This window comes from Homo sapiens, chromosome 1 (assembly GCF_000001405.40).
Source record: "Homo sapiens chromosome 1, GRCh38.p14 Primary Assembly".
NCBI lineage: Eukaryota > Metazoa > Chordata > Mammalia > Primates > Hominidae > Homo > Homo sapiens.
In genome coordinates this window covers 56367375-56381443 of record NC_000001.11, presented here as the reverse complement: position 1 = coordinate 56381443, position 14069 = coordinate 56367375, and the positions used below count along the sequence as shown (strand labels likewise).

Below are 14069 nucleotides of genomic sequence, written 5' to 3'. Positions count from 1 at the left end.
AGTGAGGACCTGCCTTCAGTCTCCTTCCAATTCATTTTCTGTAAAGGAACTATTAATAGAGTTACCTTTTAGAAAAAAATAAATAAAAGGGAGCTGAAAATTCCTCAAACAAATTAGGTCACGTTACTGCCCTGCTGATGAGGCCTCCAAAGGCTCCCATAGCACTTAGCATTGATGCAGACACCCACCATGGCTTGCAAGCCCAAGTGGCTTCACCTGTCTCCCCTTCTGATCTCTTGTCAAATTGCATCATTTTCCTTTCACTCATTAATTTCATCCACTTTCGGTTTTCTGAGTTTGCCACATTTTCACCCATCTCAGAGGCTTACCCAATCTTTTCTCTCTGCTGTGGATACTCTTCTCTCTCCCATTCCTTTCTCCTTCTTCTAAGTTTGCCTCTGAAAGCATTTCCCTGGACACTTTATCTAAAGTTAAAGCTCTCACTATTTTTCTGGCTCAGCTCCTTACACATCAAAATGGGCAAATGTTTTATTTATGTGTTTTTCCCCCCTACTACCCCAACCCCGCTGTGAATGCTCAGCTTCAGGAAAGCAGAAACCATTTCTATGTTATTTACTGTTGTCTGTGTCACCAGGGCCTCCCTCAGTGCCAAGCACATAATAGATACTCAGTGAATGTTTGCTAAATGACCGATCTGGTTCTGCTCAACTTCCCAATGTCAACCCCCATCCCAACCCACATACACTTAACTATGTCCGATTCTTGCAGCTTCTGCCAGGTCCAGCACTCTTCCTGGCTGCTGCTCATTTGCGTGTACTGTTCCCTTGCCAGAAGTATCCTTCTCCCCTATTTTCCTCCTGAGAAACAAACTCATCTTTCAAGACTCAGTTCAAATATTATCTTCTCTTTGGTGCTTGTTCCCATCTTTCCTAGCAAAATTAAAAGCATCTGTCCCATGATCTGTGCACACCCAAGTTGCAGCCTTTGCCATTCTGCATGGTCCTGATCTGTTTTCATATCTACTTCCCCCACTGAACTGACCTCTTAGAGACAAGAACAATATCCAGCTTACCTTACATCCCTACTTCTTAACAGCGTTTGTTGTATAGTCAACATTCGATGAATGTTTGTGGAGGTAATACATACCGTAATAAATAAAGGAGCTGTCTTTGTGAAATTTCAGTATGTAGAGTCTTCCTATCTGAGAAACCTATATGTGTATACTTGCTGTTTGAATATTTCCTCTTAGAAATTTTCTCTGGGGTTCCTGGCTCAGGGAGACCACCTCTATGTTTTGTGTCTTCTAGGATTAGGCAGTTGGTTTGGTTTAGAAAACAAGAGTTTGCTGTTACCTGCTTTAAAAGCAACCTAGCAGTCAACAAAAGTCCCCTGGGAGAAATCAGGTTGCTAGTGAGGGCACAGCTCCACTCACAAATACTTCGTTTGCTAGTCTACCCACCTGTAGAACTGTTTGTTAAGGATTCATTCATTCATTCATCCACAGACTAATGCATTCATTCATTCATTCACTCACTGTCCATTGTTCCCATGCCAGGCACTGTGTTGGTGCTATGGTTACAGAGATACAAGAGGTAGAGTGATGGTCCTGTTCCTTGTGGGTGAGGAAGCACAGACAGACCAATAGTGTAGTGGGATCAGTGTTCTGGTTGGGGGTGTGTGGGCAAAGTCATGTGGCAGCAGAAGGAGGTTAAGGAAGCATACAGAGGCTCTTTATGCTGACTTCTGATACATGATAGAATTATTTGATGGATAAGGGAGGTGAGAAAGAGAGGAAAGAAAGAAGATGGGGGGAACAGCATCCACAAAGGCATGAAACAAGGAGTAGTAAGTGTGCTTGAGAAATGGCAAGGAGTTTGCAATTAACTGTCTTCAGAGCTTTGTTACTCAAGGTTTGATAAGTGGACCAGCAGCATTGACTTTGCCTGGACACTTGCTGAACAACAGAATCTGGTGTTCTCCTCTGGCCCAACTAAGTCAGAATCTACATTGTAATAAGATCCCCAGGTAGTTCCTATGCATGTTAATGTTTCAGAAAAACTGGGCAAGAGGCATTTTTCAAACTCTAGCACACATCAAATCACCTGCAAGGTTTGTTAAAAAACAACAACAATAACAACCTCCACAACAAAAACAGATCACTGGGCTCCATGTCAGAGTTTCTGAATCAGTAGCTCTGGATGGGGCCTGAGAGTGCACATTTCTCTAAGGTTCACAAGTGATGCTGCTGCTGATGGTCCAAGCACCACACTTTGAAAACCACTGTGGCAAAGTGTAGTAGAAAGGGTAATTTCTGGAAAATGAATGGGGGCAGGTAGCAGAATTCAAATCCTGAAGGACCTTGAGTGCAGAAGTGTTTGGACTTTGCCCTGGAGTGCTGAGGACTGCTGTGGAGTTTTCACACAGGAGAGTGACATGGTCACTCGTTTATGTTGGGAAGATCTCCCTGGCAGCATGTGGAGGATGGTTGGGATGACAGTCACTATATTCCAGGTGAAGCTCATGGATTTCCAACCAAGTCAATGGCAATAGAGATGGCTTCAAGATAAATTAGGGGGTCAGAATCTACAGGATTCAGTGACAATAGAGATGGCATCAAGATAAATTATGGGGTCAGAATCTATGAGTCAGATTGGTCGAATGTGAGGGTGGTAGGCACACCCCTGCTTTCTGGGGACCTGGGCGCTGGAGGACATCCTGTTGCTTTTTTCCTCCTGTGGCTGTCACCCTTTTAGGTCCAGAAAGCCATCCCACTTTATTTGCCTTCTCTCCACAAGTCGGCCTCTGGCTCCATCTGACAGGTTTCAGCCTGCAGTGTTTGCAGAAAGGGATGCAGTAAACCATTCAGAAATAGGATTTATTAATAGGAGGCATGTAATTACTGCCAGACACAGCAATCTGAAGAGTTTATGGCTTAAATGTTTGGTGTCATTCATTAAAACAAAGTGGGCTCTTGGCATGGACGCTGTCACCCTGTGACCAGATCCATCTGTTTCTGTGAAAGCCCCTCCCCTCCCGGGTCTGCTAGTTGAGCCTGGCTGAAGGGGCAGAGCCAGGCAAATCATCAGGGCAGGGTGTTTGGTGCTGGGAGTGGGCCTTGCTGGGAGTCCTTTAAGGAGCAGGTCCTGGTTTCAGGGCAGGGTTCCCAGAGGGGATCTTGGCCTGTCTGCATTTGTCTCCTGAACCTCTGATTCCATAGTAACATGTTGGAAGACCTATTATTAACAATGATCTCTCACATTTATAACTCCTCCAAAGTCTTTCTCCCTTTTATTTTGCATCTCACCAGCCCCTCACAGAACCTATGATGCAGATGGCAGAGGTTAGCATGGCCTCTTGACAAATGAAAAACTGAGGCCCAGAGAAACTGGGTGAGTCCCCGAAAGTCATACAGGCAAAGGAGCGTGCTTGAACTGAGGTCCCACAAAGTCATGCTTGAAATCCCAGCTCAGTGATGAGAGTGTTGGTTTGTCTCGAGGACAGACCCAGCTGTCAGAGGTACTGCTGCTGTAGGACTTGAGTTCAAACAAAGGATTTCTTTTGACTAGCACTATGAACTTGGGAGAGCTGCTCTGAGCATCAGTTTCCTCAAGTATAAAATGGGGAGAGGGAAATATGTGACCTCCTTTACAGGGTGTTGTAAGGGTTAAATGCCCTTGCAGGGTTTGTTGCTGCTCGTCCACTTTTCCCTGACTCGTGGCCCTCTCTGGGCCTCCCAGAAAACCCTACACTATTCAGGATAGATATGTTGGTGCTCAGATGAGATAATGGAGGGATATGCTTTGGAAAATCCTTGTACACCATTCAAATGTGAGGTAATAATAGGAAAATAGATCTGCTACCATCCTGCCAAGAAACCAGCAGCTTTTGAGACAAAAAGCAGACCTAAAATCTAGAATCCTCATCATCATGATTAGTTTTGGACAGAGGAATTTTTCTGCCCTTTCAAACATTTATCTCAAAAGTTATTTTATTCTGAGGACTAAAGAGAATGCCTATGAAGCACAATGTGAAACCCATAGTAGGTTATGGATATCTGGCAGGTTGTATTAGGTTGGTGCAAAAGTAATTGCAGTTTTTGCCATTACTTTCAATGGAAAAATACTGCAATTACTTTTGCACCGACCTAGTAAAACCTGCCAGATATCCTGCTTAGTACACTAATCAGGATATTGTTCCATTCAATGGTAAGCTCTTCCCAGAGGACTGACATCTTATTTATCTTAGTATTCTCTAGTGTTTAGCACAGGGTCTGGCCTGTGGTAGGTGCTTAGCAATTATTTAAACTGAACCAAATTAGATTCTGTCATATTCCATGGATTCTTTGAAAGCAGAGCCTGTGTTTTACCCATTTCTCTCTTTCCAGAACTAAGATTAGTGTCTGGCACAGAGTAGGTACCTAGTAAATTCAGGTTGGGTTGAAATAAAGCACTGTGAAAAATAAGGTAGACTCGCCTAATGTCTGCCCTGAACCATGGGGGACCCAGGGCTCCAGGTAGGAAAGGAGTCTGGAATTTGTAGCCTGAGTAGGTACTGGTCAAATGACACACTCACTTCAAAGGCACGCAGTGGGGAGGGAAGGGGATGTGGTTTCCCAAATGCCTTTTTGGCTGGGTGAAAGCTTCAGTTGGCGGCAAGAGTCAGGTCAGGGGATGTTGGCAGCATAGAGAAGACGGCAGCCAGGACTGCCAAGGCAGGAACGAGTCAGAGGAGAGGAAGCAACTCAGATGGAGACGAAAAGTGCTTGAAATCTTCCCCTCTCTGCATCTGCAGGAACAGACGTGGCAGCAGTATGCACGCTGGAAGGAAAACAGGCTTTGCAGTCAAATAAATCTGCAGGTCCTCTCAGTGCAAGCCAGGGCTGGGGGGTCTTGAATGTCATGTTTTATTTTTCTGAATCTCCATTTCCTCATCTAAAAAAAATGGGATCAGTGATTCTTACCTTACAGGGTTGTTGTGGATATCAAAAGAGTGTTTTGTGAGTAATAAAACAGCCATTTATTAAGCACCTGCTCTCTACTAGGCACTGAGCCTAGTAGCTGTATGGATATAATTAGTAATCCCCTAATCATCCTGCAAGGTAGTGATTATCATCTCTAGTCTCCACTTCAGAGCTGAGGAAACTGAAGTTCAGAGACATTGAGCAATTTGCTCAAGTGATACAGCCAGAATTCCAACCAGGTTCTTTCAGCAAAGGTTACCATATGAATATGGACATGATGATTAAATTGTATAAATCTTTGTCAAGTCTAAAATTCTCCCAGAGCAGCAGGGTTCCTTCATTGTCAGTGCTTTTTCTTTCCCAACTTCCCCCAACTTTTTTTTTTTTAAACTAAAACTTTGGCTAACCTGGCAATCTACGAAAGAGGGGTTCCACTAAGTGATTTAAACATGATTTGATTCTCTTTGTCCTGTTGCTCTTTGGCATCAATGGGACATGGATCAGGAAATTATTTCTAGGTGTTTATATGAGGAAAGAGGAAAAGCTGCTGAGAGTTAATCTTTTAGACAATCCAACAGAATCTGAAATATCAAAAACTATCCTTCCAAAAGAAAACTATCAACCCTTTCAACATTTTTTGAATCTTTCTTTGAAGCTTTAGCCAAACAGAAGATAAATGTAAAAGGTAAGGAAAGCAAATTAACTTCTATTGAAACCCACCATGTGCCTGTGTCTTGATGTATTGTCTTCTCAGTTCCTCCTAGTAACCCCGTATGGTAGGTATCATTAGATTCATTCTTCCACATAAGGATGCTCAGAAAGGTAAATATTTGTCTGAGTTCATACAATGATTTGGCAGGAAAGCCAAGATTCAAACCGCAGCCTGCTTGGTCCTAAAGCCCAGGCTTTTTTTTTTTTTTTCTTCTTCTCCCTGCTTCTGAGTCTGCAGTCTCCTGAGGGGAGCAGTTGTTTCCTCTTTGTTTAAGGAGTCCGTCCTTTTGTCCTGGATAGCCCCAGAGAGATCCTGCATCTTCAGAAGAAAAAGGACTTTTCGCTTTAAGACTGCTTGGGACCTCCAAAGGTCTTTAGCAGAAAATGCAAGCAAGCACCCTATTGGAAGGTACTCTTAATGAAATGAACACCGGCTGGATGGTTCTATTTTTGGATGTGGGCTCAGACATTAGGAGCAGGCAGTATCTTTTCTTTTTCTTTTTCTTTCTTTCTTTTTTTTTTTTTTTGACAGGATGGGCTGGGGTTGGGGGAGGAGGAAGCAAGAATTAAGCAGAGAAGGCAAGCTCCTTTCTGTTCATCTAACTCAAAGTGAGTATTATGGATTTAAATAACCCATGTGCAGTTCTATTACTTAGTGGTTTTACCCAGATCTAGGCTACTACAGGTGAAAGATGTTCTATCTGTCCTGTGCTTAATTTTTAATGCAGTCTTGAATTACTTTTGTAGAAAAATCCAAACACTTAGTTTGCATGCCATCCTCAAGGTTCTCCTTCTGGGGTGGAAAGCTCACAGGCTTTGGGGATTGTGAGGCTTGAGTTCGACCTTCTGCCATGCCACTGATCTGTGTGGCTTTGGGTAAGCCATCTAGTATCTCTGACCTTAGGCCCCTCCTCTGTAAAATGAGTACAATCATGCATGCTTTTTAAGGTTGTCATCATTGCAAAGTGCTTGATGCTTGGCAGACACTCATTAAACATTAGTTACTTTTTCTCCCTGTATCTCAAAGTGCAAATTCTTTATCTTTATTCTCTTAGGTCGAGAAGGGCATGAGTGATGACCTATATTTTTAGGACAGCTTGGATCCACCCAGATTGTTGGCAGGGGCTATTGGCTGTGGTTTAAGACTTAAGCCAATGCCCATTATGTCATTATGGAGCCTGCAAAAGTGATTACTAATGTTACTTTTCCAGTTCACTGCAGAGCAGAGGGGAGAGTTTTTCACACTGCTGGCGTTTTGTTGGAGCACGAAGATACGAATCACAGATGGCTTCCTCGGCAGATGTGGCCCTGTAGAACTGCAGTGCTGGTTTATAAGGGGTTTAATGAAAACCTGGCACCCTCCCAGACTTGAATCAATCCTCTAGGGTCTCAGCTTATGCACGTACAGACCAATCTGCAAATGTGCACCATTATTGACGGTGTGGGGAATGCTGGGGTGAAAAGTTTTTACCTGAGAAACAAAGCCAAACCTATCTGGCCAAGTTCACAGGCTTGGCCTGGGAGATGGAACAGTGCCGTGGAAGGGAAGTTGGTAGGAGAAGAGTGGCTGCAGCTGGAGGATGTCCAGATGGCCGCTGCCCAGCTGGGGGTGATCCGGGCTCAGGGTAGAATGATGGTTTTACCAGCTGCTTCGGGCTCACAGTATTTTCTTCCTTGCCATGGCTAAAAAGAGTGAGCAGGACTCGCAAGTGGGAGATATGGAATATCGAAATAGTTTCTGTCTAGTTCATATTATGGACTGGAACTGAACTTGCATATTGTTGCTTCTGCTTGAAATGTTCTTCAAATGGTCAGCTTGCTATTTCTCATCTGTTTTATTTTGGCTTCAGTGTCATTCCTTGGCAAATGCTTTCTTGATCACTTCCCTGAAAGAATCTCCAAGCTCTTTGCCATATTCTATCTTAGTTGTGCATTTGTTCATAATATATCACAATTTATTTGCCTATTTGGTTGCTGTTTTGGTCCTTTACTAAAATATAAGCTCTTTGAGGGTAGGAAGTCTGTTCATCTTGTTCACCAATGCAGCCGAGTGCCTAGTGGAGTACCTGGAACATAGTAGACATTCAACAAATATTGTTGGATGGATGAATACATTTTTGTGACAAGACTAAGATAAATCAGTCTTTGTAGATTAAAGCCACCATTTACAAGCTGTATAACTGTCTAAATTACTTAATCTTTCTTAGTCTCAGATTCTTTATCTGTGAAAAAAAAGATGGCCAGGCGCGGTGGCTCACGCCTGTAATCCCAGCACTTTGGGAGGCCGAGGCGGGTGGATCACCCGAGGTCTAGAGTTCGAGACCAGCCTGACCAACATGGTGAAATCCCATCTCTACTAGAAATACAAATTAGCCGGGTGTGTTCGTGGGCACTTGTAATCCCAGCTACTCGGGAGGCTGAGGCAGGAGAATCTCTTGAACCCAGGGGACGGAGGTTGCAGTGAGCCAAGATCACACCACTGCACTCCAGCCTGGGCAACAAGAGCAAAACTCCATCTCAAAACAGAAAAAAAAAAAGATAAAAATATAGTAGAGGGAGCTGTTTGTGTAGAATAGTGTCTAGAAATAAGAAATGGTCAATAAAGCTATTATTATCCAGTTATTGAAGAATTAAGTTCACCACCAACAAATATTTATCAATATTTCTATTCTAATATCTATTGAGAATCTAGTATATGCTATGCCCCCACACCAAGCACTTTTACATGCATTATCTTATGCTATTCTTCACAACCTTGTGAGATATTCTTCCCATTTTAGAACAAAGGAAATAGATTAAGTGGTTTGAACAAGCTTACATAGCTACTCAGTGGCAGAGGCAGTATTAACTCCATTTCTATTTTTAAAGCCCTAATTTTCCCCCATAATTCCAGGCTGCTTCCTATTAACACTCATTCTGGATAAATAAACATAAGGAAGCCACATTCTCTGTCCTCTGGAGGCTCTGGTTTAGGTGATAAGACATATGTAAGAGTAAAATGAACACTAATAAAAACCATTTTTTTGGTGCTGCTTTGAAGTTTACAAAGCTTGTCCCAATATTTACAATACATTCAAGTTTTAAAAGATTATTACCCAGGATATATAAATAATTCATACAAGTCAATAAGAAAAAGACAAACAATGGAAAAATCTACAGATTATGAACAGGCAACTGGAATGGCCAATAATCATATAAAAAGATGTTTGACATTATGAGCTGTTGGGGAAATTCAAATGAGAACAGTAAGACACTATTTCCCATTGTCGGATAGGCAAAAATAACAGTCTGAGATACCCAATGTTGAGGAGGATAAGGAGACATGAGAACTATCATACCATGCTGGTGGGACTATAAATTGGTAAAACAGTTTGGGGAGCAACTGGCAATACATAGTAGCAGTCAATATGAATACACAACCAGGGCTTCCTCTATGAGGTAATAGCTTAGAGAAATTTTTGCATATGTGCCAAAGGAGATGTGCAATAATGTTCAGTGTTAGCATTGTATATAATAGTGCAATATTGGAAATAATCTAAAAGTACATTAATAGAGGAATGGATAAACAAATGGATCTTTTTTTAGATAGAACATAAAATAGCAAAAATAAAGCAACATAAAATAGCAACTAAAAGAATAAATTAGAGCTACATTTAGCAATATGATAAATCACTAAAACATTATTGAATAAAAAAGACCAAGTTGCAGAAAGGCACAGACAAGATATCATTTATGTGTATTTAAAAACGTGCAGGCTGGCCGGGCGCCGTGGCTCATGCCTGTAATCCCAGCACTTTGGGAGGCCAAGGCAGGCAGATCACCTGAGGTCAGAAGTTCGAGACCAGCCTGACCAACATGGAGAAACCCTGTCTCTACTAAAATACAAAAAAATTAGCTGGGCGTGGTGGTGTATCCCTGCAATCCCAGCTACTCAAGAGGCTCAGGCAGGAGAATCACTTGAACCTGGGAGGCGGAGGTTGCGGTGAGCCGAGATCACGCCATTGCACTCCAGCCTGGGCAACAAGAGTGAAACTCTGTCTCAATAAATAAATAAATAAATAAATAAAACCATGCAGGCCAGGAGCAGTGGCTCAATGTCTGTAATCCCAGCACTCTGGGAAGCTGAGGTGGGTGGATCATGAGGTCAGGAGATTGAGACCATCCTGGCTAACGCGGTGAAACCCAGTCTCTACTAAAAATACAAAAAAAAAAAAAAAAAAAAATTATCCGGCATAGTGGCACATGCCTGTAGCCCCAGCTACTCAGGAGACTGAGGCAGGAGAATCGCTTCAACCCAGGAGGCGGAGGTTGCAGTGAGCCGAGATCACGCCACTGCACTCCAGCCTGGGCGACAGAGCGAGACTCTGTCTCAAAAAAACAAAAAAAACCCCATGCAAAACATGTTTTCACTTATAAGTGGGAGCTGAACAATGAGAGTACATGGACACAGGGAGGGGAACAACACACACTGGAGCCTGTTAGGGGAGGGCAGGGAGGTGGGGGAGCCTCAGGAAAAATAGCTAAGGCATGCCGGGCTCAATACCTAGGTGATGGTTTGGTAGGTGCAGCAAACCACCATGGCGCATGTTTACCTATGTAATCTGCACATCATGCACATGTACCCTGGAACTTAAAATAATATTTTAAAAAATGCGAAACAATGCCACAAGTTTAAAATTAACTCTTTATGTACCATAAAGATCTGGCAAGGAAGAATACATGCTTCTAGATGGTAATAATTACTTCTAGGGTAGAGGTAGGGAAAGCTTATCGAGGGAACTTCTATGGATCTTCAACTAAATGTTTTAATTTAAAAAAATCTGAAGCAAACATGGCAAAATATTAACATTGTTAGATCCAGGTGGTGCGTTCAATGCGTTTGTTATACTTGTCTTTGAACTTTTCTCTGTGTGGGGGATATTTTCTGTGTATACGGGATATACACATACAAACACCTCGTTAACCCAGAGCTTCTTCCCCAAACCTTATCTAATTTTGTCCTCATTAAGGCCTTGGAAACAGCAATGAAAGAGAAGACGTTAAACTCTCGAGTTTCAGTGCGTGTCTCTCCTGACACCTGCTTTTGTTTTGCTGATTGGGAATGCTGGTCAGGTGGAGTAGAGATGAATTGATTTTCATTAGAAAGGGTCTGCAGCTATGGTGAGGGTGGGGTGGAGTCAGGGAAAAGTGGAAGAGAATCAGGAGGGCAAAGGTGCCCAAGTTCTGAGAAAAGGCTGAGGAACCCAAGGTTCGGAGAAGGAGAGTAATAAATCCAGTGTCCTATAGGGATAGAGCTGGAATCTGCTCCTGGTTACCTAACCTCATATTTAAGTCAAAGGCAAGTGTACGCTAGGGACAGGAGCATGAACACTGGATTTGGACAGATCTTGGTCAGATCACAGCTTTGCTATTTAGTGTCTGTGTGGCCTTACACACCCCACCTAATTCTCTGAGCTTGGGTCACTATTGCCTCTCTTAGAGTGTCACTGGGAGAACGAATAACATAATGTGTACAAAGGGACTTAGTGGGACCAGCACTCTTGGCATTTCACTCCATAAAGAATAGTTATTACCACCAGCAGCAGCATCATTCCAATTTGTTTCAGCCATTTCTCAATAACTCGTTCTTTTACCCTCTTTCCTTCTTTCCCCAGCCCAAATTGGGACAGTTTCCTATGGGTGAGAATTTGGTTTATCTCTGTCCAAGAATTGGTCTCAGCATTCCGATAAAAGCTACCAAACCGAGAGACAAGCAGAAAGATCACCTCCTTTTCTCTGGAGTCGTTCTTCCTATGAGTGCAGTCTGAGGTCTCATCAATTTTGGGAGCAGCCAAATCATATATTACTATTCCTATCAACTAAAGCCCTTGAATCTTTTAATATGACTTAAAATTTGCCCACCCTATACAGTTGGGTTTTCTAACTCAAATGAAGAATCTTGATTACAAAAAGGAGAAAAGACCAAGGTATTTAAAAAGAACTTAGTATTATGGAGGAAGTAAAATTGCTCTTATTTGTGAGTACTTAAGACAGGCCTATTTTTGCTCCTTTTGGAGTTCTATGACATTAAAACTTTAAGATCATAGGCTGCTCTGCCTAGGGAGTAGCCATTCTTTTATTCTTTTACTTCCTTAATAAACTTGCTTTCACTTAAAAAGAAAAAACTTGAAGACCATAGAGTTGAACCCAATATTCCTCCTTTTCCTAGTAGTAACTATTTCAAAGAACAACTTCCTTCTTTCCTACTTTAAATTTTATATTTATTATCATGATCTTATGGATTCTTCTTTCTTTCTTATTCTTAAGTGGACTGTGAATTATTATCACTATTCTTTTTGATTTCCCAATTGATTTGACCAGTGGGAATTCCTTCAAACCAATTCCTATGTTCTTTTGATATTTCGCCATCAATCTTTGAGTACCTCTTTGTTTTCTGACAACAAGAGATTCTCGACTTACCTTATATTTTCTTTGCCCCAGAGCCAGAATCAGCTGTTTCTCTAAGAGGCAGTGGTTCTTTTTTTTTTTTTTTTTTTTTTTTTATTATACTCTAAGTTTTAGGGTACATGTGCACATTGTGCAGGTTAGTTACATATGTATACATGTGCCATGCTGGTGCGCTGCACCCACTAATGTGTCATCTAGCATTAGGTATATCTCCCAATGCTATCCCTCCCCCCTCCCCCGACCCCACCACAGTCCCCAGAGTGTGATATTCCCCTTCCTGTGTCCATGTGATCTCATTGTTCAATTCCCACCTATGAGTGAGAATATGCGGTGTTTGGTTTTTTGTTCTTGCGATAGTTTACTGAGAATGATGGTTTCCAATTTCATCCATGTCCCTACAAAGGATATGAACTCATCATTTTTTATGGCTGCATAATATTCCATGGTGTATATGTGCCACATTTTCTTAATCCAGTCTATCATTGTTGGACATTTGGGTTGGTTCCAAGTCTTTGCTATTGTGAATAGTGCCGCAATAAACATACGTGTGCATGTGTCTTTATAGCAGCATGATTTATAGTCCTTTGGGTATATACCCAGTAATGGGATGGCTGGGTCAAATGGTATTTCTAGTTCTAGATCCCTGAGGAATCGCCACACTGACTTCCACAATGGTTGAACTAGTTTACAGTCCCACCAACAGTGTAAAAGTGTTCCTATTTCTCCGCATCCTCTCCAGCACCTGTTGTTTCCTGACTTTTTAATGATTGCCATTCTAACTGGTGTGAGATGATATCTCATAGTGGTTTTGATTTGCATTTCTCTGATGGCCAGTGATGATGAGCATTTCTTCATGTGTTTTTTGGCTGCATAAATGTCTTCTTTTGAGAAGTGTCTGTTCATGTCCTTCGCCCACTTTTTGATGGGGTTGTTTGTTTTTTTCTTGTAAATTTGTTTGAGTTCATTGTAGATTCTGGATATTAGCCCTTTGTCAGATGAGTAGGTTGCGAAAATTTTCTCCCATTTTGTAGGTTGCCTGTTCATTCTGATGGTAGTTTCTTTTGCTGTGCAGAAGCTCTTTAGTTTAATTAGATCCCATTTGTCAATTTTGGCTTTTGTTGCCATTGCTTTTGGTGTTTTGGACATGAAGTCCTTGCCCACGCCTATGTCCTGAATGGTAATGCCTAGGTTTTCTTCTAGGGTTTTTATGGTTTTAGGTTTAACGTTTAAATCTTTAATCCATCTTGAATTGATTTTTGTATAAGGTGTAAGGAAGAGATCCAGTTTCAGCTTTCTCCACATGGCTAGCCAGTTTTCCCAGCACCATTTATTAAATAGGGAATCCTTTCCCCATTGCTTGTTTTTCTCAGGTTTGTCAAAGATCAGATAGTTGTAGATATGTGGCATTATTTCTGAGGGCTCTGTTCTGTTCCATTGATCTATATCTCTGTTTTGGTACCAGTACCATGCTGTTTTGGTTACTGTAGCCTTGTAGTATAGTTTGAAGTCAGGTAGTGTGATGCCTCCAGCTTTGTTCTTTTGGCTTAGGATTGACTTGGCAATGCGGGCTCTTTTTTGGTTCCATATGAACTTTAAAGTAGTTTTTTCCAATTCTGTGAAGAAAGTCATTGGTAGCTTGATGGGGATGGCATTGAATCTGTAAATTACCTTGGGCAGTATGGCCATTTTCACGATATTGATTCTTCCTACCCATGAGCATGGAATGTTCTTCCATTTGTTTGTGTCCTCTTTTATTTCCTTGAGCAGTGGTTTGTAGTTCTCCTTGAAGAGGTCCTTCACATCCCTTGTAAGTTGGATTCCTAGGTATTTTATTCTCTTTGAAGCAATTGTGAATGGGAGTTCACCCATGATTTGGCTCTCTGTTTGTCTGTTGTTGGTGTATAAGAATGCTTGTGATTTTTGTACATTGATTTTGTATCCTGAGACTTTGCTGAAGTTGCTTATCAGCTTAAGGAGATTTTGGGCTGAG

The 14069-nt window shown here is 41.8% G+C and overlaps 1 annotated feature.

Annotated features, from left to right (window-relative positions):
• Positions 11024-11550: an enhancer, noted in NCBI's record as "H3K4me1 hESC enhancer chr1:56835566-56836092 (GRCh37/hg19 assembly coordinates)". NCBI's record gives its function as "activates a minimal SCP1, AML or CMV promoter by ChIP-STARR-seq in primed H9 embryonic stem cells {active_cell/tissue: H9 hESC(primed)}" and the evidence as "EXISTENCE:reporter gene assay evidence [ECO:0000049][PMID:30033119]".